The sequence below is a fragment of the Homo sapiens genome, chromosome 14 (genome assembly GCF_000001405.40).
Source record: "Homo sapiens chromosome 14, GRCh38.p14 Primary Assembly".
In the NCBI taxonomy this organism is placed as follows: domain Eukaryota; kingdom Metazoa; phylum Chordata; class Mammalia; order Primates; family Hominidae; genus Homo; species Homo sapiens.
The window spans coordinates 38855599-38881375 of record NC_000014.9 but is presented as its reverse complement, the minus strand read 5'-3'; the positions used below and the strand labels follow the sequence as shown (position 1 = coordinate 38881375).

The following is a 25777-nucleotide window of genomic DNA, read 5'->3' as shown; positions in this document are numbered from 1 at the left end:
TCGTACAGTAGTCTTTGATGTCCTCATTTCCAAGCTTAGTTTGCAGCCACTTTCCCATTGTAAGTGTACTTTAATTACACTTTCAAATCAGGGTCCTGGAAAGCTGAGGTAATTTGCAGGGAGCTTAATGAGGAACTGTCTACCAGAGTTTAGGGAAATCTGAAATGTTTCAGTAACCCTAGGACTAGTAACAGCTGGTTATTGCTCTAGGCCTGAAAGAGTGTGATAAACCATCTCTAGGATTCCCACCACCCAGTGAGTGTGGTGTTCATGCCCTTGGGTACTTCCTCCCTCTTGAGTGTAGGCTGAACATAGTCATATGCTTCTAATAAACAGAACACGCTAAAAGTAATAGGATGTCACTTCTGAGATTAGATTACAAAACAACAATGGCTTCTGTCTGGTTGTCTTGCTTGCTCTGAGGGAACCCAGCTGCCAAGATTGGAGCTGCTTTATATCAAGGCCTTCATGAGAAGAAACTGAGGGATGCTTCAGTCCAACAATCTGTGAGGAAATGAATCCTGTCAACACCATATGAGTGAGTTGGAAGTGGATCTTCCCTCAGTTGAGCCAGGTGAAAATACAGCTCCAGGTAATACCCTGATTACAGTTTTTCGAGAGACCTTGAGGAAGAAGCACCCAGGAACTTTGAGATAATAAAAGATTTCTGTTTTAAGCTGCAGTTCTTGGGGGTCACTTGTTATGTAGCAATAGATGGCTAATTCAAGGAGTTGGGGAGGAAGCAGTTACTGGAGTCAGAGATGGCTGTGTGGCGGTCTCCTGCTAAGAGCTGTGGCTTTCATTCAAGGGTCACATTCAGTGTGCAGGAAGTTGGGGGAATAAATACCCTGTCTTTCTTCCCTGTCCTGCTGCAGTTGTCTATTTGCTGGACCCAGTCAGAAAACAGGAGGCAAAAGAGCCCTTTGGTGAGGTCAAATAGCCAGCCTCCTGTGGCTCAGAGCAGGACAGAGAAAGGGGGAATAGATCTGGAAGATATGTAACATAGGGAAAGAAATGAATCCATTTGTACTTACCATTCAATCTAAGAAACCTTTGTTATAAATACAGTTGAAATCCTCTCTACCCGTCCCTGAACATGTTCTTTTCCCTTTACCCACAGATAGTCGGGATCTTTATCCTGGGGTTATTATTCCCATTCAGTTTTAAATTTTTACCTGTTTTGGCCAGGTGCAGTGGCTCACACCTGTAATCCCAGCACTTTGGGAGGCTGCGGTGGGTGGATCACCTGAGGTCAAGAGTTAGAGACCAGCCTGGCCAACATGGTGAAACTCTGTTTCTACTAAAAATACAAAAATTAGCTGGGTGTGGTGGTGGGTGCCTGTAATTCCAGCTACTCGGGAGGCTGAGGCAGGAGAAATGCTTGAACCCAGGAGGCAGGGGTTGCAGTGAGCTGAGATGGTGCCATTGCACTCCAGCCTGGGCAACAAGAGCGAGACTCCCTCCCAAAAAAAATTTGCTTTATTTGTTTATTTAATTTTCATGATCAGAATGGCCTATAGTGTCCCGGGCATGTGTTAGAATAGTGTTTTATCCTTTGATTCATTTATCCTGTTAGTTTTCCAGATAAGATTACTGGGTCTGTGTGCACCAAGGGGATGCTCCTCAAATTATGCTGGCTAAATTGAGGAATCATACAGTTCTGTTGTTTCATCTATAGCAGAGATCAACATACTTACTGAAAAGGACCAAAAAGTAAATATGTTAAGCTTTGTGGGCTACAAGGTCTTTATCTGTCACCCTATTCACCTCCACCATTGCAGTAGAAAGCAACCCTAGACAATGTGTAGGTGAATTGGTGTGGCTGTTTTTCAATAAAACTTTACAAACTCAAGTGGCAGGCTAGATTTGGCCCATGAATTGTTTCTCTGCTCTATAGCAGCCCTGAGAAAATGACCATGGGACTAGCCATCCTGGTGGCACACATGCCTCTGGGAAGAGAGAATTTTCAGCATAAAATCCCAAAAGGTTCATAGCAGCTGAAAAAAGCAGGTCTGCTTAGGGGCTCCTTTAAGAACAGGCAATGTTGAGAAGAGGGAGGTATATCAGAACCTTGAGGAGAAGCTGAGCACTGGCAGAGAGGAGGAAGTACAAGGGGCAGAAGCTGTAGTGCTGACTGATGCTCAGTCAGAGTCAAAGTGGGTGATTTGGGGAGGGTAACAACATGGCCAGCAACAACTCCAACGGATAGGAGAGGTGCAGCGGAGTTCGTGGTGGCTTGAGTGATGTCTCAGCAACATATTCTGGAACACAGTGGCATTGAGCACACTGGGCTGTGGTCCATCCAGACCTGAGTGATTCTGGGACCTCAGGCAACAACCTGCTGTAATGCAGGAGTTTAAGACACTGCTGAGCAGACTTCCAGAGAGCCCTGTGGGAAAAACCTGGGAAGGTGTATGCATTTGTATGCATGTGTGTGCATGAGGATGAGGTGGGAGAAAAGAGGAGAATCAGTAGGGTATTTTTTGCTATCAGATTGCTGGTCTGATCATTGTTGAGACAACTCCTGTACCCACAGGGATGGGTAAGGGCATGGCATGAGGTCCTGGGTTGCATGACAATTATATAAGCAGCAGGTTGATTTTTCTTTACATCCACTTCCCAACATTCACCTACCCTGAGATGTCAATTTGTTTCTGTCTTGTCTTTTTTTTAAATTTGTGATTCAAGAAGAATTCTATGAAACAGAAATTCTAGAATATGTTCTGAAATAAAGGGATGTCACAATCAAAGTTTTCTAAGCAAAGACACTTCCCTTCAAAAGAACTCAATTGCTGACTATAAGATGCTGAATTATTTTAGGTTGGTAGCTGAAGCCATATCTTGCAGTTTTTCTATTGAAGGAAGTGCTTTGTTTAGAAAAATGACTTGGTAAGCAGTTGGGAGTAGATTGGCTGGATTGAAAAAGAAGAAGGAATCAAATAAATAGTCAATCTGATATGCATTGAAAGTAAATACTGTATAGTTTGAGAGAGGAGAAAAGCCAAGAAGAGTAGAGAAGAGAGGGAAGGGAGTAAGAAGGAGAGAGATTAGGCAATCTGTCAGTACTCTGGAATAAATGGACAATGGTGGCCAATCAGAGGTTTCTGGTGGAGAGGAGGAGAGGATTTTTAAGAATGGAGATATCTAATCTTCGGTTCTAAGGTGTTTGAATTGCTATGACGTAATGCTCCTTGCCTCTCCAAGCCCTTGGGAAAGTCTGATATTTTTATGAAAACTTGTTTGGTGCTCTTGTGGGAAATAAAGAGCAGTTAAGGATATGTGGTAAACTTCACATTTACCCTACAGCTGATGCCAAGAAGAAGAGGAATGTCATGTGAAAAGGAACAGGAGTTCAGGAGTTCCAGATGAAAACAAGATATAAAATGAATGGCAGTCCTTAGGGAAATTGAGGGTGGCCCAGATAAGAATGAAGTTGGCTCTGGGCCCCTTTTGATAGAATAAACCAGAGGGTGGTGAATATGTGACACACGGGTCATGTTCCTCTTATGGATTCATGAGGATTGTTCAAAAACTCTGAGAAGTCTGGAGTTAAAACAGCAATGACAACAGTGAAAACCTTAATTCTGTTTAATCTAGCATTTTCCAAACTTATTTTACCATGTATCTCTTTTTTAAAACTTAGTAACACTGAGTGTTCTTAGGAATATTCTTTGCCTTTAAACTATTAATATTTTTATAGTTGTGATCAAACCCTTCATTTATAAATAATCTCTAAGATACACTTTAGTAGAGGGTTTTGAAATGTGCTAATTCTTTTGAATGCCAGCTCTAAGAAGCCGAGACTTTAGAATTGAAAGGCAACATGAGGATCTTCTTATAGGGCACAGGCAGGGCTTGGCATGGATTAGGTATGGACGGTGGAGAAAGAACAGAATCAGATGATGCTCAGATTGCAGCCTGGAGCTACTGGGTGGATGGTGGAGCATTTCCAGGGAGAGGGAGCATGAGAAAGGGCAAGTCTGAGCAGGCATGGCCTTCAGGGGTCAGCTCTGACTTGGTTTTTTTTTGTTTTTTTTTTTTTTTTTTTTGAGACGGAGTCTCACTGTGTCGCCCAGGCTGGAGTGCAGTGGCGCGATCTCTGCTCACTGCAAGCTCCGCCTCCTGGGTTCACGCCATTCTCCTGCCTCAGCCTTCTGCCTTCTGAGTAGCTGGGACTACAGGCTCCTGCCACCACACCTGGCTAATTTTTTGTATTTTTAGTAGAGACGGGGTTTCACCGTGTTAGCCAGGATGGTCTCGATCTCCTGACCTCGTGATCCTCTTGCCTCGGCCTCCCAAAGTGCTGGGATTACAGGCTTGAGCCACCGCGCCCGGCCCTGACTTGGTTTTGAACGTGAGGCTTTGAGATGTCTGTAAGATCTCCATGTTGGGATATCAAGTAGTTACAAAGAATACATGAGTCTGAAACTAAGAGGAGAGAAATGAGCTGTTAATTTGGCAGGTAGGTACTCTTTGAGGCCTGCGAGAGGGTGAGTTTGCCTGGTGAGAGAGCTGAGAGAGAAAAATAGAAGAGGACTTAGTGTTGAACTGTAAGGGAATGTGACATTTAGAGATTGCATAGATGAAGAAGAACCAGCAAAGGAGTCCTTAAGATATCAGAAGACAAAGAAAATATGAGAAAACCCAAGAGAAGAGGGTGTATCAAGAAGGAACGAGGGCCACTGGGACAAGAGCTGCTGAGAAGTCAAATGAAAAGGACGAAAAGATAAATGATATTATCTAGTTTTGTGCTAAATTAAGCAGTGTGGCAAATGCTTGAATAAATGTGATTCTCATAAAAATCGTGGGAAGAAGTCATTATTTTATGGACAAGGAAACATACTCAGACAAATGAAGAAATTCAAACTGAAGCCTCTAGGCTATCCTGCCTTCCAAAAATTCCTATTTCAATGCCAGTGTTTGCATTTCGTATGGCTGATTAGCAAGTCCTGATAATTCACATTGTAGAGAATAATGATTCTTAACTTTACATTTTTAGCTTACTATGGCTACATTTTGACTTTAGTATTTTCTGATGGAGGGTGGGACGGGATAAGATACTTCCTACAAATATTTTTGGAAGAAGACCAATGAAATTGTAACTGTTGTTAAAAGGAGGCTATAAAATTTAAACACAGGCAACTCCATCCTTCATTAACACAGAAAAATTATGGTATGTCATAATTCATTCTGAAGTTTATTACCACAAATATTGAATAGAGTATGTTATGACATTATATTGACATCCTACTTCCACCGATAACCCAGGTGCTAGAAAATTTATGCAATGCTGACAGTTAAGCCACAACTCTTGGTATAATTCTCAGAAAATGTTGAAAACGGAAAAAAGCAACTTGATGTAGTTGAATATTTGAGCGAGGAGGAGCTCTTTCACATAGCCACAGTATTCTAGAGTGTTTAAAATCTGAGTTAAAAAATGAGTGTGATCTCTAAATATTTTCCTTAGGATGTGCTAAGATATTGCAGTATAGATAGTTCTAGGATGGCCAGGTTGACTAGTGTCAGGTGCAACTTCTCAGTTTTGTTGTAGGTGGGCTGTAAAGTAAACTATCACCAGCTAGTTATTCCGGTGGATGCAGCACCATTTGAGTCTACCGTGAATTGTTCAGTTATTTCTCAGATGAGTATATTTGGCTGCTAGACAGTGGATTTTTATAGAATCATTTAAGATCCTACTACCCAGCAGGCTGAATACCAGGCTATCATTTTTTTTAAATAACAAAAACCTTTTGTGAAAATTCCAGGGAAGGAATACAGACAAAATGAAATCCTAGCTCTATAGCTGCTATACTAGGATCAATTGTTTTAAAATAGCACAAACTGGCACATAGTGGAAGCTCAATAAATGCAGTACTAATGCTGCAGATATTAGGGAGGGCATTAAGTTACATTTTAGGTGATCATTCATCTTCCACCTTCCTACAAAAATCTCCTGATTTGAGCCATGCTGCTTATAGCTCCAAGATGCTACTGTGCCATTCTGGGGAAAGTTGTGTAGTGTAGTGTTGGGAGCAAGAATTCTGGAGCCAGACTGCCTGGGCTTAAATCCCTAGTCCTTCTAGTATAGCTGTGTGACTTTAGGCAAGTTGCTTCATCTTTCTGTGTCTCAGTTTCTTCATCTGTAAAATGAGGATGATGAAAATAATAGTTTCTATCTCATAGGGTTGTTAGAGGTGTTATGCTTGGCATCTAATAAATAAAGCCCTGAGAAACATACAGTTGGTATGCACAATCAGTAGCTTGGAGTTCATTTATCTCAATGCCAATATCTATACCTTCACTCTGCTCCCAGAACTCACTTTCATGCTCACACCTTGGATCTGGTCACCACTAGGAACTAGGAACTCATCTATTTCTGAACTACTGCTTTTTGTCTTTAACAGTTGTCTCACTTTCTAAGTTTCATCCTCTTTGGTCTTTGAATTTGTGAAGACTTCTAGTTCCTTGACATTTCCCTTTGCCTTCTGAGTAACATACATCAGCTAGATTAATTTCCTTCCCTTTTCCACCTACATCTTTTAAGCTTCTCTTGCTAGCACCTTCAACTCTCTTGCCCATTTGCCATGCGATGCCCAAACCCGGATCAATTCATCTCTCCTTTTATTCTTGGAAACCCAGAGCATTGTGGATTAATGTCATTAGAAAAAGGTAGGATCTCTAATCCTAAGTAGACCCTCAAAACCACCCAGTGATCCTCCAAAGTGCCTTTGTTGAACTTCCTTTGCTATCTCCTATGCCAAGTTGTTCCAACTTTTATGACTTTCCTAATGTCTCTTACCCTAGACCTTTCTTCTCACCAGACCTAGGAGGAATAAACACTGTTCACTTAACACTGATTTTTTTTTAGAATAGTCTTCAACTGCACCTGTTTTTCTTTTCGTCTCTTTTTCTTAGAGTCCAATGTTCTGCTGACATTGCAGTCCTGTCTGCTCTTACTGCCTTTGACACTTCAATTCTGCAGTGACCTTCTTTAAGTCTCATATTTTGAACTTCTTCCTCTCCCCTGGTGTAATGCTTAAGTTTCATTTATCTTCAGAACAAAACCTCATGGCTCCTGGGTCCTCTCTAGCCTTATGTTTCTTTATGAGGCAAGGCTGAATTGTCTTCACTCCTTCATCTGTTATTTCTATCTTAGCTTCCTGCAATCTGACTTCTCTCCTGTTCTACCCGGGATCATCTGCTTGGTGAGTCTATTGGAATCTTATGTTTTCATCTTACTTGACCTCTTCACTGCACTGCTAGAGACTTCCTTCTCAAAACTCCCTTTTTGTGCCTTCTTCCTCATTTACGATTTTCTTCTTGTTTTCTGGCTGCTCATTTAAAAACTCCTCTGTGGACTCTTATTTCTCTTCCTGCTTCTTAAATGATGGTGCTCAAAAGAGTTAGATTCTCAGCCTCTCTTCTGACTCACAAGCTCTATATAATGTATTGCACTTTCAAATTCAACCCATAAATCAAAGACTCCCAATTTATACCTCTAGCTTCATACCCAAATTAATTATGTAATTCTCCAACCCCAAACTCAAGCTTATCCTTAGTGGTGAATTCAAAGCTCATTGGGATCTTATCTCTGCTTACCTTTCAGCCTGATCCCTTGCCACATCTTTATTGTAGCCACATCAAACTGCTCCCCAATTCTCCAAATGCAATAGGCTATTTCGCTGCTTTGAATGCCTTTCCACTCTTTTTATCTAGAAAGCTCCCACTTGTCTGATGGGATTTGAGTCAGTTGTCGCCTACTTTGTGAAACTCTCTCTGACCCCTCTCCTGTTTTCAGATCAATTTTGTAATGCTTCCGTTTTGCAGTATCCAGTTCATATGTATCTTTATATGTCCATTTGATTGCATGGTTAGCATTGATGTGTCTGTGTGCTTTGAGAAAGCATGAGAAACTTGAGGCAGGAATTTAACTTGTGATTATTTTCATCCTGTGGTCAAATCTATCTTTCTAGCCCCAGCACACGGCACGAAGCCTGGTGCAGGGTAAGGAAACAAAGATGTTTTCATCATTGCACATGTTATCTCCTGCATCTACTCTGGCCGATCATGGTTCTTCACTACCTTGAGGACACTGGCTACAGCACTTCCAGTGAACCATAGGGGAATTTAAGCATAAAGGGTTTTAAACTTATCTAGGCCAAGATAATAATTTTATATACCTTTAAGGAAATATGTGTATATTTGTAATTAGCTATGAAAATATAAGTCCTAGTCCAGGCACCATGATATTGAAATAAATAAAAAAAGGATTGATTACCAGAATGAAGGTTAAACTGCTAAAGAGAAACAGGCAGCAAGTCTAATGACAACTTCAACATATACGGCTTCAACTTTGTCTTCTGATTTTAAGTGGTTTCTGTGGAATTTTTTTGTTTGATGTTGACACTTGGAGGGAGACAGTGTGCTTTTTCCTGGTGTGGGTAGGGGTCTGAGCATGTGCAGGTTGCTGACTTCCATAAGGGGCTCAAGGTGCAGGCATTGGGCTAGCCATGCCTATGGCGTTAGTGCATGGCCCAGTGCTTTGCACACACTTCATGCTCAACAGGCATGTGCTAAATGAATACATAAGTGAATAAGAGAACATGTTGGTGGTACCTCATGGAAAAGTGAGGGGAAAAGTATAGTAACAGGATGAAGCCCATGTGTCATAAAAGTTTGGTCTAAGTGTGGTCTTTGGCTTGGGTCAGCTTCTTGGTATCTGAGAACATTTTCCGCCTTGACACAGAGCTCTTGAGACAGCACAACTTGCTGATGACCTCTGGGCTTGTCTTCTTCTAGAGCACAGCTTTTCTTGTCTGTACTCAGGTATAGGTTTATAAAACTCATTGACCACCTGTTGTTTTATCATCTCAAGTTCTACAATTCCTCAGACAGCTCTGTTACTCCCCTCTCACCTTTCCCTGGCCCATTTCCTTTAGAGAACAGGAATCTCAACTAAATTGAAAGAGATCTTACCTAAAACAAATATGTCAAATGCACTGAGCAAAACACAAAGGAAAATTTATTAAGCTTCTAAGATGATGTTATTAACAGTAAAAGTAAAGAAAACAAACATTTGAAATAAGATAGTTGGATTCAAGGTTTAATTTTTGTTTAAATAATCTGTTTTTTATTAGATTTAAAAATGTAATCTTTACTCCAATATGTCAAAAGAGCCAGGTATTATATTACTACAGAGTTTTTCTTCCAGAAGACCTTATAAGAGAAATACAAAAACATAGGAAGAAATACTTAGTAATTGAATAATTCTAGACTCTGTTAAGTGACAAGCAAATTTATTAACCCTGGTAATTTACATGGAAATCAGAGAAACAGTCAACCTAACATTGCATTTTGCTATTTTTTAAGACAGAAATGATTAAACATGTAAATTCAAATTTAAATTATTCATAACTACTGTAGCTGCAGTATTAGCTTCAAGCATTATTAAAAGTAAATGTTTTGCTAATTTGATAAATCATATATCAAATATATGATAAATCAAAGTGTTTTAAATTTTTAATATGATTTTTAGATCTCCTAAACCCCCTGCCCTGCATCACAACCAAATATCCTAACTTTGTTACACGGCCTCTATCTAAGCTCCTGAATTTCTTATAGCACAATGGGGACTGGACTCTCCCTCAGTAAATCTCTCTTTGTGAAGAAATTTTCCATGAGGGAAATAAGTCCAAAAACAAGATTAATGCTATGCTGTCCATCATGTTCTGTATTTTAGCATACCTGCTTTTCCAGTTTCTAAATTCAGAATATAGGTTTTTGTTCTACTTACAACCCCAAGCAGCTTAGGAAAAAAGAAATTCAACTTTATGTAATAATTCTACCTTGGAACTATAGTGTCTGGTTGCCACAGATGCATGGGTAGAGTGTATTCATCCTTGTTTGTGAGTAAAAGCTAGTCTGTGCATCTAACTTAGGAGATAAAAGATATTTGATATTCTAAAATCTTTTCCTTTTTGTTTTTTTGAGATGGGGTCTCACTCTGTTGCCCAGGCTGGAGTGCAGTGGCTTGATCACAGCTCACCACAGTCTTGACTTCCTGGGCTCAGGTGATCCTCCCACCTCAGCCTCCCAAGTAGCTGGGACTACAGGTGCATACCATCACACCTGGCACATTTTTGTATTTTTTGTAGAGACATGGACTCACCATGTTGTCAAGGCTGGTCTTTTCCTTTTTGAAACCACCAAAGCTTTGTCTTTTGTCTATCATGAATAAAGTCATAACTCAATTCACATCAATCTCTAATCAGCACACAAGAAGATTGATTTTGGGTACCACATCATTAGGAGATCTTAGCACATCAAGGTGATATTAACATTAACTCAGCCTTGAGAATTGGAGTATGCACAACATAAATGATCATTTTGCTAAGTTCAACAAAACTGTAAATGTTCAAACTGCCTAAGGGTTGAATTTAGTCGTAGACTTTTGGAGATGGATCAGTTAAACAATCTTTAAGTTGGAAACAGAAGTGTCAATCTGGGCAGAGTATACTGATTTGCCTATGAAAGATGGACATTAGCTATTGCAAAGTTATTAACCTACCCTCTCTACTTGTACTGTTCAGGCTGACCTAACCCCCACATTCATCTGAAATATTCAGGTAATGAGGTTAGAGTTGAAAAAACCTGAATTATGAGGACAATGACTTAGCTTTGTATTTCCATATACGGAACCTATGGTTTCACAGGTGAACAATTTACGTGATGGATTAGTGACAGCCTGGACCTTTGCTGAATTACCAGCCTGGGAGCCTCTGGTTTGTAAATGGTTTTATACTAGCTTGTGGAATGCATTTTGTGCTACTGTGGACTTGAAAGAATGAATATATTTTTCCAACAGGCTTGCTGGCTACCAGGAAGTAGACGAAATTGATCTTAAACAACAAAGGGATTAATCTAAAAGGTCAGAGATGAATTTATGTGTGGAATGTTCAGGAATAATAACAGGGAATAGTTTAGGGGAAAAGCACAATTCATTATTAAGGAGACATTAGCTTCCCAAGGAAGAGAACTATGATTTAAAGTAATAAAATACTAAATTAACTAGGAATATACAAGTTTACAATTTGTATTTTTACAAATTTTTACAAAATTTATAATTGGTGAATCAAGGAATGATATCTGAGATTTTCTTTTCTCAGCCACCAATGGCACACACACAGTCAAATAAAGCAATGTGGGAAAGCTCACACCAACATAGCAAGAAAAAAAAATCACATTCTTTGGGGTGACAAAATGTGCAACAGCTTTTGGCTAGCTGTTTCGATTTAACAGAATTTGGTGAAAGGAAGTTTGAGCTGCTAGGAAAATCTACTTTTCTTCTTGAAAAGCTGATTTTTTTTTCCCCATGAGAAATCTCAAAGTGAAAATTGCTGCTTTCACACTACTCTCTACAGAAATATTAATAAATGCCATTCTGTTAGGTATTAATTAAAACAGTACTTGTTCAATTCTATTTTATCACATATTGTGAAGAGTTGAGATAAAGCTCTCACGCTGTCTTTTTGGATCTGTTAATCTTTTTATTGTACATATAAAAGTATACAGACAAATTGGATTCTCTAGGGGTTGTTACATTCATTCATTCACTCAGTATTTATTTATCGAACAGTAGGTACTGGGAATATTATTTTGTGAGACAGTCTGTTTCCTTGGGAACTCATAGTTTAAAGAGGAAAAGCAGACATGGTAAACAGAAAATTGTAATACAGTGTTAGAGCTCTGCCTGAAGTAGGAACAAGGAAATTGGAAACGATGATCAGGGAAGGGAAACTTACATCTTCAGGGAGGTAGTGCTTCAGGGGAGGCTGAAGTGTTGAGAATCAAGCTAGACCTTTAAGGTTAAAAGATTTTGCTGGAAGAAAAAATGGTCTGGACATTCTAGGCAGAGTAAAACACTGGAAGCATAAAATGTCTGATGGGTTAAATGCTGTGACAGGCTGCCTTTCCCCATCTTGTGGAATTGCTTCTTGAAGGGTGCATAATTTAAAGAAACCTTTAAATTCTGGAATGGGCTTGGTTATGGAAGAAAGCAGCAAGATTTGTCTGATTATCAGGAGCCACCTGGGAGAGTAAATTTTCACTGGGCACAACAAGTAGGCATATAACAAATATTTGTTGCTTTGATGTTGTTGAATTTTATTTGTCCAAATAGAATGAAGAAACACAGCACAGGATGATGCCCAGGAAGTAAGGGCCAGGCATTCGTGGAGGGTTTGGGCCCTTAATAGTTTGTGAAAGAGATTATCAGGACCACATCTCTAAAAGAGAAGCAATTCAAACGCCAAACATCCTAGTGTTTACCAGCAGGAGATTTAGTTTGTACTGCAAGGGAGTGTGGACTTACCCCCAAAGCAAATACACAATTGTGTGTATTTTACTCTGCTGAATGCTCTTGAAATCAATTTCTAACCCATAAAACAGAAGTTTCCCAAACCAAATCCACTATAAAATTCATCTCTGTGGAGAGGCCATAGCTGTTACAGGAGGGCAGGATGGTAGATCAGGAGGCTTTTCTGTTTAAATATTTAAATAGATTTCTATTTGAACAGCTAAATGAAACCAAACTCACTCTCTTATCTCAATAATTAAAAAGAAAATTGCTGAGCTTTCTTTGCCAAGTGTTCATGCCATTTCCCCCCTTTCTTGAGCTTTCTCAGGGTATTCTAAGTGCCTATGATTTGGTTTCTTTTTGGAGTAACTCAAGCAGTCTTTCACAAGCCGTATTTCTGGGACTATGGCAGACCGACTTCATTGGCTTCTTAACGAAGAACAGCCTGGCTTAATGATTAATTTCTAGGTAAATGGGGCTGAACCAAGCCTCACAGGACCTGTCTTGGAGGGGCTGGCTAAACAGTGGCTCCCTGAGAGGACAAGCACATTTCTTCCTGTAATCGACAACTATAGATTTATTTTTCTTAGTGATGTTAAGCATCAGAAGGTACTTCTTTTACTTGCACTAAGCAGGATAGTTTTAATTTTGCCTTTAGGCCTTATCTATTACTGTTTCCCCTGGCAACGTTATCTATAAACTTTTCTCTCTTCATTTTTTTTAATTTCCAAGTAGTTCATGATTATTTCAGAAAAATTAGAAAATACAGAAGATAACAAAAATTAAATTAAAAGCAGCTAAAAATCTTGTCATTTACTAGCATCCTGAGACATTATTCCTAACCTTTCCTCCTTCAGATATGTGCATATAGAACATGTATTTACAAAATTAGAAACACACCGTGTGTGTGTGTGTGTATTGATCTGTTGTGCTAATGTCTTATATTTCTTTGATACAATTATGTGGTCTTAGCAAGACTGGTATAAAGCCATTTCAAATTATGAAACAATAAAAATGATACGAATTTTCTAAGCAACTCAGGGCTCCATATAAAATACACATAAAGACATTTACCAGCCTTTATTTCCTATTTGGTACCCTGCCTATGTTTCACAGACTATAAAATGAAAATTAATATTCTACACTACTGTCCTTCTATAAATAGCTATGGCCATGTGGTTAGCTGCTGCCCAGCATGGTGGGGGGATTAGAACCACCATCTAAACAAAGGCCTGCCTTGCACTGATGTGCTTGTTGAAAAGTACGCCAGCAGAGGGCAGTGTACTTCCAGGACACAACTCAACGCTGCCATGGGCTGTGGAACAATCGGTGGAAAGACTTTTAACACTGCTCTAAATACAAACCAACACACAATTTTACTAGAATATTATTAGTCTGTTTGTGACATGTTTTAAGAATTTGAAGTTCTGACACTAGATTATGGAAACTATATAGCAAAAGTGAAAATGTATTCATTTAATAAGCTTATATTGGCCACCTACAAATGCCATGCTGTAGTAATATAAATATTGAAGACAAAAATCCTTGCCACAGATCAGCAGGAGATAAAAGCATGCAGTAAATGTTTCCAAAATGCAATGATAACACTCATGCTAGCTGAATAAATTCTGTCTAGAGGAACTCAGAAAAGGCCCCACAGAGGAGTTTTGTATGAACTGAGTCTGAAGAATAGCAGGAATTCACTAGGCAGGTGGGATCGGGGATGCAGGGAATTCCTACAGGGAGGAAGGTAGAAAGGCGCAAAGGTGTTATTTAAATGTTGAGCAGGGTAGGTGATTTTGTTTTTTATTACCCTAAAATGTAAGCCTTGATTTCCAGAACAGAGCCCCAGAACAAAACAAAACAATAGTGAGAAAGATGATATTTGCCAGTAGATTTTATGCTATTGTTTAGAACAAGTGTCTGAAATATAATAAATCCATTATATGCTAAAAGCACCAGCATCAAAAATATTTATCTCCACTCACCTTCAGGTAATCACCAAATTCTGACTTGTCTTTTGGTGGACTTGATTAGTTAGCCAGTATTTACACATACATATATGCTGATTTTACAGGAAAGGGGAGATGAAAATGTGTTCATTCAGCATCTCTTCATTGTTCCTACTACAGGTGGGCACTTGTTACAAGTGGTGCTTTCATTAGTGATATGTTCTTTTGGCCTGCCTATTCTGTATTGCTCATGTGTTGGTTCAGATTCCCTGATAGGCCATAAATGCTTATTTATCTGGATGAGGGCCTGTTTTTCCTTTGTGTTTTCCCACAGTGCCAGGCAATATAATGTGCATACACAGCACAGCCGTAAATGTTGACTGACTTTATCTATAAGGCCCACACTGACTTCTCACAAAGAAGGAAATGATACTAGAGGAAAGGAGGACGACGGAGATGATGTGGAGAGGCTATAATTAACTTTTCACATGACAGGGCAATCCACATGCTGAGAGGAATTCTCTCTGGCATAAGACAGTGTAGAATTTTGTACGGAACTATACCTTCCATGTTTCCAGCTGCTCACACCTCTTGCTTAATTAACAAATGTTTGTATAGAGTGGTCAAGACACTCGATATACTAGGAGACCTAATTGTTATGATTACTTTACATTAACATCCTCTCTGCAGCTGCTTTAAGTCTGCATTTTGGAAAGTATTCACAGAAGCTACTCAAAGGAGCTAGAGTGGTTTGTTTATGGCATTTTACTTATACAATGTTCATTTGTCTTTTTATTTTCTTCCTTACTTGTCTGTATTAGGAAGTAGCTGTTAACTAACCATAACCAAAGTGACCATATTCTCTTTTGACAAGTTTTTTCCTAATCAGATAATCACCTGCTGCGTATTTTTAAGTAAACTCTAGAGGATCTTCCTAAACAAGGCAGGAAACCAAGAAACTCTAAAATGAAAGAGTACTGAATTAGGATAAAACCAAATTGTTATTGCAAATAACCTCCCCTCTCCATGTGGCTCAAAGGACACAAAAGCTTATTTTTCTCTCATGAAACATTTCAGAGGTGAGCATTCCAGGTGGTTGCTGACCACTGGTGGGGGCCTTGTGGTCGTTCAGGAACTCAGGCTCTTTATAGTTGACAAGTCTCAGTGTGCTAGTTAACAATTTATTGCCTTTAAGCTCCACTTGCGCTCTTTCATATGTTCTGTGATAACAGTGGACAGAATTCCTGCAGCCATCTTCCATTTACAGTGGGTAAGATGTTACACTTTCTCATTAGAGGGTGCTGGAGGGACATTGCTAGTGAAAGGGGCTTCTGCTGTTTCTGGCAGCTATACAGTGGGTCAGCAGTGTCAATGTGAGGCCATTCTGTAGAGTTCTGCTCTAACCATGCACTCAGAATGAATGATCCTTTAGCAATGTTACAGCCTAAGCCTGGCCTGGGGATAACCTTTCTGCAGCCCAACTCACTTGAAAAATGGCTTCTGAAGGCCTCCTGCCCCTACAAGTGCAGTTTACTTTGCAGACCTGTGCCCAAGAGCCTCACTCCCTCTGCATGCCCAGGCCAAGATCCCCAGTTGCTGACTGCCTGTGCCCAGCCTCTACTCCAGAAGATTGCTTCCTGCTTGTTCAGTGATTGCAGTTAGCTCTGGCCTGGGCAAACAAGTAAACTTCTCTGCTATCTAGTGGGCTGAACCCCAGCCTTGGGAAAGGGGGTCCCCTCTAGGTTTGGACTTCCTCAGGGGCTCTTCCTCCGCCCAATGGTACTGTATTATTCTATTCTAATGCTGGTAATAAAGACATACCCGAGACTGGGTAATTTATAAAGGAAAGAGGTTTAATGAACTCGCAGTTCCACGTGGCTGGGAAAGCCTCACAATCATGGCAGAAGGCAAAGGGGAAGCAAAGGCATGTCTTACATGGCAGCAGGCAAGAGAGAGAGCATGTGCAGGGGAACTCCCTTTTTATAAAACCACCAGATCTCGTGAGACTTATTCACTCTTATGAGAACAGCATGGGAAAGACCCACCCCCGTGATTCAGTAATCTCCCACTGGGTCCCTCCTAGGACATGTGGGAATTCTGGGAGCTACAATTCAATATTTGGGTGGGGACACAGTCAAACCATATCAGGTACCATATGGTGTTTTCTCTTATAGTCACTCATTGATTAGAGTTTAACAATATATTAAGCCCCACTCCCACCCAGTTTCTGATTGGACCCTGACTGATACATGTGGCTTTGTTGTCTCATAGGATATTGTTCCCTCCATGGTCAAAATTTGCTGTCATGTCCAAGTTCTATCTGGTGGAAGGAGAGGGAGCATGGAGGGGGCATGAGTACTTCTTAAGACCTAAATGTGGGAAGAGGTACACATTTATCCTGTGTGTATCACATTGATGAAAGTTTGTCCTAGGGCTACACCTAACTGCAAGGGAGTAGGGAAGTACAGTGCAGCCATATGCCAAAGAAGCAAGCAGAATGGGTTTTAGCGGGCAACTGGTAGTCTCCACCACAATTGCATAAAAATTAAAAAAAAACCCTATATGGTAAAAGACATCAAAAGTAAAAGAGAGCCATGGACTGAGGAGAAAATGGACATCACATATGGAAATTTGTGGGAGAGTTTTGAGGGATATTAGCAATATGCCAGACAAGAGGGTTATAGTCCTCAAAGTTCTCCCGTGAATTGATTGCAAAAATAAACTCAAGTTAAAAAATCGAAAGGCTAAACAAACCAATGAAAAACACAAATACAGAATAAACACCATAGAGAAGACATTCAACTTCATGAGAAGTTAGGGAAATGCAAATTAAAGCAGCCATGAGAAGATAACAGATTAGAGGCTCTTAGCATTCCTCAGCCACTTCATGATAGCAAGATAGTAAATAAAGATTGACTCTATGAGCTTTAATTCAAGAAGGGAAATGAGAGTACACTAGAATTATGAATGATACCCCAGATCTTGGATAGGAGAACATGACCAAGCAGCTCTCATGATGGCGTCCAGCTGATAAAGGTGCGTGAAGCCCCAGAATGAGAGATATAGATAGCCTCCCTCTGTGACTTTCTTTCCATTGGGGATATAAGCAACCCAGGCTGAGGGAAAGCACTTTGTTTCTCTCAAGCCCTGTAGCTAACCTGAGGAGAGGCTTGAAGATGTTGTGAGGGAAAGATATCAGGAAAAGCCGCAGACATTTTCCCAGACCTGGGACTGAGAGCAGGGAGCCATTTTTACTCCACGAGCATACAAAGGCAACTATTCTTGGGTGACCTGGCAATGCAACCATGCAGGCATTTTAGTCTTGGGCCAGAGATTAAAGAGCCTGCTTTAGAGTAGGGTAGGGGCTTCCACAGTTAGAAATGTGGGAAGTGCCTCAGAAGTAGATGCTGGAATTGTGCTTTCCCCCATTGTAAGCCTGGGGCGGGAGGAGAGCTGCTACAGCTGCACTTTCTCCTGGGTGGTGAGACTTGCAGCCAGGGCTGGCTTGGTGACCTGGAACTGATTTGCATGTGCCATTTCTGGGTGCCCCTGCTTGCTCCCCTGAGCACATGGTGCAGCAGGACCCTCTCTGCTCCACCTCTAGGCAGAAAATTAGGCATTCTGAGCACCCACTTGCCTGGACCAGCAGCCTAAGCCACCTCACCCTTCATGGACATAGATTGCAATGCAGCTGGGCCCTCTCTGCTCCACACACTTGCCTGGTTCAGCAGCCTGAGATGCCCACCCTTCCTGGACATAGATTAGGGTTCAGTGGGACTCTCTGCTTCACATCCAGGCATATCTCCAGGCATTTGGAATACCCATTCACCTGGACCAACAGCCTGACCCATCCTGCCCTTCCTGTGCAGAGATCCTGGTGCAGACAGATCTCCAGGCATTGAGAGGAACCACTCATCTGGTCCAATAGCCTGAGCTGGGCCCCTCTTCCTGGGATATCAGTTGTGGTGCCGTGGAGGCCCTCTCTGCACCATGCCCAGGTAGATCTTCAGGAATTTGTAGAACCTGCTCACTTGGATCAGCTGCCTGAGCTGCCCCACCCATCCTGTGCAGAGACCCTGGTAAAAAGGGGCTTTCTCAGCTACACACTCAGGCAGATCCCCAGGCATTCAGAGCACCTACTTGCATGGTCCAGCAGCCTGGGTCACCAGTCCTTGTGCAGAGATCTTGGTGCAGTAGGGGTCCTCTCTGTTCCACACTCAGGCAGCTCTCCAGGCATCTGGAGCATCTACTCTCTTGGATTAGGAATTTAGGCCACCTTCCCTTATTCCTGTGCAGGGAACTTGGGGCTGAGGAAGTTTCCCAGTTTCATGCCTAGGCACATGTTTGGGTGCTTAGTGGCTGCCCCCTGGATTCTTCCTTGGTGCCTGGTATTTGTGTTTGTCATCAGGGGACCTGTAAGTGGACCTGCCTGGCCTGGCCCTGTCCTTTGTGGCCCCCACCCATGCTAGGACTAAGAAGGGAGCCCAGACCACTGTGCATTCCATGAACCAGCCCATTGCCTGAGGCAACAGAGAGCTTCTGCCAGTAAACAAGGATCAAGTATATACCCAGCCATGTTTTTCACAGCTGGCTCTTACCTAAAAGCACTATCAACTGGCATATAGGCTGAACTGCACAGCGCAATATAAAACCTACTGAAAGAATGCATAGAGCTATAGAAGCAAAGCCAAAAGACCCTACCCAGCACTCTCTCCAGTTGCACATGAAGCAGAGGAAAGGAGAAAGGAAGAGAAAAAAATACTATGGGGAAATAAATAAAAAGAAAAAATCCTACTCGTATGAAAATAATTACAAAAATTAGAAGTGCCAGCATTTCCAGACAAGAAGAAACTAGAACAAGAATTCTGGCACTGTGAAAAATCTGAATATAGTGACACCACCAGAGAATTGCTGTATTAGTCACAGTTCACTAGAGGGACAGAACTAATAAGATATATTTATATATATAAAGGGGAGTTTATTAAGTTTTAACGTACACAATCACAAGATCCCACAATAGGCTGTCTGCAAGCTTGAGAAGCAAGCAGAGCCAGTCTGAGTCTCAAAACTGAAGAACTTGGAGTCCAATGTCTGAGGGCAGAAAGCATCCAGCATGGGAGAAATATGTACCTTGGAGGCTAGGCCAGTCTGGCCTTTTCACGTTTTTCTGCCTGCTTTATATTCTCTGAAAGCTGATTAGATTGTACCCACCAGATTGAGGGTGAGTCTGCCTTCCCCAGCCCACTGACTCAAATGTTAATCTCGTTTGGCAACACACTCACAGACACACCCAGGAACAATACTTTGCATCCTTAAATCCAATCAAGTTGACACTTGGTATTAACCATCACAATTGTACTAGCTCGTTAGCAATGTTCCCTAATCAAAAAGGAAACTCAGAAATGACAGGTAGAGAATTTAAAGCATGGATTGTAGGGGAGCTCAGTTAGATCCAAGACAAGGTTGAAAATCAACACAAATAAACTTCTAATGCAATCCGGAAAATGAAGGAAAAGATAAACATTTTAAAAATCAATCAATCAGAGCTTCTAGAACTGAAAATCTCACTTAAGAAATTTCAAAATATGATTGAAACCTTTATCAAGAGACTGGACCAAGCAGAAGAAAGGATTTCAGAGCTTCAAGACCAGTCTTTCAAACTAACCCAGCAAGACAGAAATAAAAAAAAATTCAAAAAATGAACAAACTCTTTGACAAATATGGGTTTGGGTGAAGCAACCAAACCTACAAATTATAGGCATTCCTGAGAGAGAGAGAAGAAGAAAAAGTAAATAACCTGGAAAACATATTTGTGGGAATAAGGAAAAAAAAAAAACTTCTACAATCTTGCTAGAGAGGTAGACAGATACAAGAAATCCAGAAAACACCGGCAGGATACTATACAAAATGAACATCACCAGGGCACTTAAGTCACCAAACAGTCCAAAGTCAATTTTAATGAAAAAATCTTAAAGGCAGCTGAGAAAAAGATCAAATTACATACAAAATGAACCCCATCAGGCTAATAGGACTTCCCAACAATACTTAAATAGGCAGAAGAGATATGTTGTGTCTTTGTTTTTATTTATTTCAAATAATTAAAAAAAATTTTTTTAATAGTGCTGAATACCTAACTCAAGAAGTTAGGAAGACCTCAAATTAATGATCTAATACCACATCTACAGGAACTAGGAAAACAAGAACAAACTAACCTCAAAGCTAGCAGAAGAAAATAAATAACTAAAATCAGAGAGGAACTGAATGAAATTGAGAACCCAAAACCCATTAAAAAATCAATAAAACCAAAAGGATAGAGCGCTAGCTGGATTAACAAGAAAGAAAAAAAAAAAGAGAGAAAGAGAAGATTCAAATAAACACAACCAGAAGCAACAAAGGTGACATTACAACTGATCCCATGGAAATACAAAAGATCCTCAGACACTATTATGAACACCTCTATTCACACAAACTAGGAAATCTAGAGGAAGTACACAAATAAATTCCTGGAAACACACAATCTCCTAAGATTGAATCAAGAAGAAATTGAAATACTGAACAGACCAATATTGTATTCTGAAATTGAATTGGTAATAAAAAAAACTACCAAATCGAAAAGGCCCTGGACCAAATAGATTCATAGCTGAATTCTATCACATATTGAAATAATTAGTTCTAATCCTAATGAAACTATACCAAAAAAATCAAGAAGGAGGGATTCCTTCCTAACTCATTCTGTGGAGCCAGCATCATCACCCTAATATGAAATCTGGCAAAGACACAATGAAGAAAGAAAACTAAAGGCCAATATTCCTGATAAACATGGACACAAAAATCCTCAACAAAATACTAGCGAACTGAATTCAACAGCATGTCAAAAAAGTTAATTCACGATGATTAAGCTGGCTTCTTTCTTATGATGCAAAGTCGGTTCAACATATGCAAATCAATAAATGTGATGAATCACATAAATGGAATTAAAAACACAAACCATATGATCCTCTGAATAGACATGGAAAAGCTTTTGATAAAATCCAATATCTCTTCATTAAAAAAAAACCCTCAAGAAATTAGATGGTGAAGGAACATACCTCAAAATGACAAGATCCATCTGTGATAAATCCACAGCCAACATCATACTGAATGGGCAAAACCTGGAAGCATTCCCTTTGAGGACTAGAACAAGGCAAGGATGCCCACTTTCGTCACTCCGATTCAACATAGTACTGGATGTGCTAGCCAGAGCAATCAGACGAGAAAGAAAGAAAACGCACCCAAGCAGGAAAAGAAAAAGTCAAACAATTTTTCGTAGACTATACCTAGAAAACCGTAGTCTCCACCAAAAGGCTCCTGGAACTAATAAACAACTTCAGTAAAGTTTCAGGATACAAAGTCAATGTACAAAAATTAGCAGTATTTCTAAAAATCAATAATGTTCAAGCTGAGAACCAAATCAAGAATGCAATCTTATTAACAATAGCCATACACAGAAAAAAATACCTAGGAATACATCTAATAAAGGGGATGAAAGATCTCTACAAAGAATACGACAAAGCACTGCTAAAAGACATCATAGATAACACAAACAAATGAAAAAACATTCTATGCTTATGGATTGGAAGAATCAATATTGTTAAAATGCCATACTGCCTAAAGCAATCTACAGATTCAATGCTCTTTCTATAAAACTACCAATGCCATTTTTCACAGAACTAGGAAAAAACTATTGTAAAATTCATAGGGAACCAAGAAAGAGTCCAAATAGCAAAAGCAAGCCTAAGCAAAAAGAACAAAGCTGGAGGCATCATATTACCTGACTTCAAATTATGCTATAAGGCTACAGCTACCAAAACTGCATGATACTGGTACAAAAATAGACACATAGACTAATGGAACAAAATAGAGAACTCAGAAATAAAGCTGTGCAGTTATAGCCATGTCATCTTTGACAAAGTGAACAAAAATAAACAATGGAAAAAGGACTCCCTATTCAATAAGTGGTGCTGGGATAACTGGCTACCGATATGCAGAAAAATGAAACTGGACCCCTACATTTCACCATAAACAAAAATTAACTCGAGATGGATTAAATATTTAAATGTAAGACTTCAAACTCTAAGAATTCTAGAAGAAAACCTAGGAGACACCATTCTGGACATTGGTGTTGGGAAAGAATTTATGAAGAAGTCCTTGAGCAACTGCAACAAAAATGAAAATTGATAAGTGAGACCGAATTAAACTAAAGAACTTCTGCACAGCAAAATAAACTGTCAACAGAGTAAACAGACAACAGGAGAAAATATTCGCAAACTGTGCATCCAACAAAGATCTAATATCCAGAATCTATAAGGAATTTAAACAATTGAGCAAGCAAAAGCAAATAACCCCATTAAAAATGGGCAAAAGACATCAACAGACACTTCTCAAAAGAGGACATACAAGTGGCCAACATATGAAACATATGAAGAAATGCTTGTCATCATTAATTATCAGAGAAATGCAAATCAGAACCACCATGAGAACCATCTCACACCAGTCAGAATGGCTATTAATAAAAAGTAGAAAACAAGATGCTGGCGAGGATCTGGAGAAAAGGCAACATTTATACACTATTGGTGGGAATGTAAATTAATTTGGCCACCGTGGAAAGCAGTTTGGAGATTTCTCAAAGAACTTAAAAGAGAACTACCATTTGACTGAGCAATCCCATTACTGGGTATACATCCAAAAGAAAACACACATTTTTCTTTTTTTGTTTTGCCTTTTTTTTTTTTTTTTTTTGAGTCAGAATCCCACTCTGTCACCCAAGCTGGAGTGCAGTGGCATGATCTCGGCTCACTGCAAGCTCCGTCTCCCGGGTTCAAGTGATTCTCCTGTCTCAGCCTCCCAAGTAGCTGGGACTACAGGCGCCTGCCACCACGCCCGGCTAATTTTTTGTATTTTTAGTGGAGACGGGGTTTCACGGTGTTAGCCAGGATGGTCTCAATCTCCTGACCTTGTGATCCACCCACCTTGGCCTCCCAAAGTGCTGGGATTACAGGCGTGAGCCACTGTGCCCGGCCGCCTTTGTTTGTTTTTTTTTAATTATACTTTAAGTTCTGGGATACATGTGCAGAACATGCAGGTTTGCTACATAGGTATACACGTGCCATCGTGGTTTGCTGCACGCATCAACCCGTCATCTACATTAGGTATTTCTCCTAATGCTATCCCTCCCCTAGCCCCCCAACCCCCACGGTGTGTGATATTCCCCTCCCTGTGCCCATGTGTTCTCATTGTTCAACTCCCACTTATGAATGAGAACATGCCGTGTTTGGCTTTCTGTTCCTGAAAACACACATTTTTCTACCAAAAAGACACATATACTTGTGTATTCATTGCAGCACTAGTCACAATAGCAAAGACACAGAATCAACCTAGGTGCCCATTAATAACAGATTGGATAAAGAAAATGTGTTACATATATGCCATGGAATACTATGCAGTCATAAGAAGAATGAAATCATGTCCTTTGCAGTAACATGAATGCAGCTGGAGGCCATTATCTTAAGCAAATTATTAACACAGGAACAGAAAATAAAAAACCTCATGTCCTCACTTACAAGTGAGAGCTAAACATTGAGTGCTCATGGACATAAAGTTGAGAACAATAGAAACTGTGGACTATTAGAATGAGAAGAGAGGGGGAGCCAAGGGTTGAAAAGCTAACTATTGGGTACTATACTCAGTACCTAGGTGATGGAATCATTTATAGCCCAAACTTCAGCATCACACACTATACCCAGGTAACAAACCTGCACATGTACCCCCTGAAATTAAAATAATAGTTGAAAAAAAAAATAAAGCAACCATGAGATACCACTTACCATCTATCAGGTTGGCAAATACTAGAGTAACAATGGCCAATGAAAGAATATGTGCTCTTGCACATATTTATTGCAGCACTATTTACAAGAGCAAAGACTTGGAAACAACCCAAATGCCCATCAATGGTAGACTGAGTAAAGAAAATGTGACACATATACACCATGGAATACTATGCAGCCATGAAAAAGAATGAGATCATATCCTTTATAGGGATGGATGACACTTAGATGTCAAAGAAGGGTAGTTCTAATTCCATCTATTAATTTGATAATATACTGGTACCTATTGACAGCCAAAAGTAGGATAATGCTTAACTCTAGAGGGGATGGGAGTGGAACTTTTATCAGAATGGGGCATGTTGTGGCTTCTGGGGTGCTGACAATATTCTATTTCTTGACTGGGGTGGTTTGTTATTGCTAAAATATATCATGCTTAGCAAACTAACACAGGAACAGAAAACCAAATACCACATGTTCTCACTCATAACCGGGAGTTGAACAATGAGAACACATGGACACAGGGAGGGGAACATCACACACCAGGGCCTGTCAGGGGGTGGGGGCAAGGGGAAGGAGAACATTAGGACAAATACCTAATGCATGCAGGGCTTAAAACATAGATGACGGGTTGATAGGTGCAGCAAACCACCATGACACATGTATACCTATGTAACAAATGTGCACATTCTGCACGTGTATCCCAGAACATAAAGTTAAATTTTAAAAAGAGAAAGATATGTGCTCTTTTCTTTCTAGCAGGGTTATAAGTTACTACCTGACATTTAAGAAGAGTAGGCTAAATGGGTACTCTTTGCCTCAGGACTCCCACTTTTGGAAATTTATCCTATAAAATAAAAGCTCCAGTACATAAGAAGTTTATTGATGAATTATTTGTAGAAACAAAAACCTGAAAGCAACATGAATGCACTTTGATATGGAAATAATTAAATACACTATGTTACATGTATATATAATACGTTACTTAGCTACTAGAATGAATCTATCCTTTGTTTTTTGATCCTAAGTTATGTTCATGATATATGTAAAGCTAGTAAAAGTAACTTCAAAATAATATGCGTATGAAGATTTTATTTGTATATAACCAAATAACCAAGAAACTGTAAATGTGTACCTATGTTTCAATATGTTTGTATGATAAAGGTGTGGGAGGATGTATACAGGGCTGTTATGGGGTTTGGGAATGAAGAGGAGTTGATGAAGATAATTAATACAAAAAAATTAAAAATACTTGTTTCATTGCTGATATGAGTTTTGTTTTCTCACTATTTTTGTGAAAGGAAAAAAAAACCTTGCTCTTTGACAGGTGAAAATTTTTACACATCCTACCTGCAAATCACCAAAGCCTAGAGAGAAAGTGCCAGTCTGAGTTTCACAGTTCAGTTGCAAAACTATCAAGTGTTTAAAGAACAGTTTGCCAGAAGTGTGATTCATTGAAGCCCCTGGTCCTTGGGAAAGCAAATCAATACCTGTCTGTTTGCCTTGGTAGTTGGGTTTGTTGATGTTGTTGTAGATATATTATTTTGCTGATAAAGAGAAAAAGTAAGCACTTTCTAAGAGTAGTAGCTAATTGCAGGTCCAGGGATAAA

The 25777-nt window shown here is 39.9% G+C and overlaps 2 long non-coding RNA genes across 2 annotated transcripts in view; one reads left to right on the top strand and one right to left on the bottom strand.

Annotated features, from left to right (window-relative positions):
• The window catches only part of LOC105370457 (uncharacterized), a 40472-nt gene extending 37826 nt beyond the window's left edge, over nt 1-2646 (bottom strand). The window contains exon 1 of the long non-coding RNA NR_135256.1: nt 2635-2646. This is a non-coding gene — a long non-coding RNA (uncharacterized LOC105370457). The remainder of the gene's footprint in view (nt 1-2634) is intronic.
• Nucleotides 1-25777, top strand: part of LINC00639 (long intergenic non-protein coding RNA 639) — a 167544-nt gene that overhangs the window by 35507 nt on the left and 106260 nt on the right. The window lies entirely within an intron of this gene.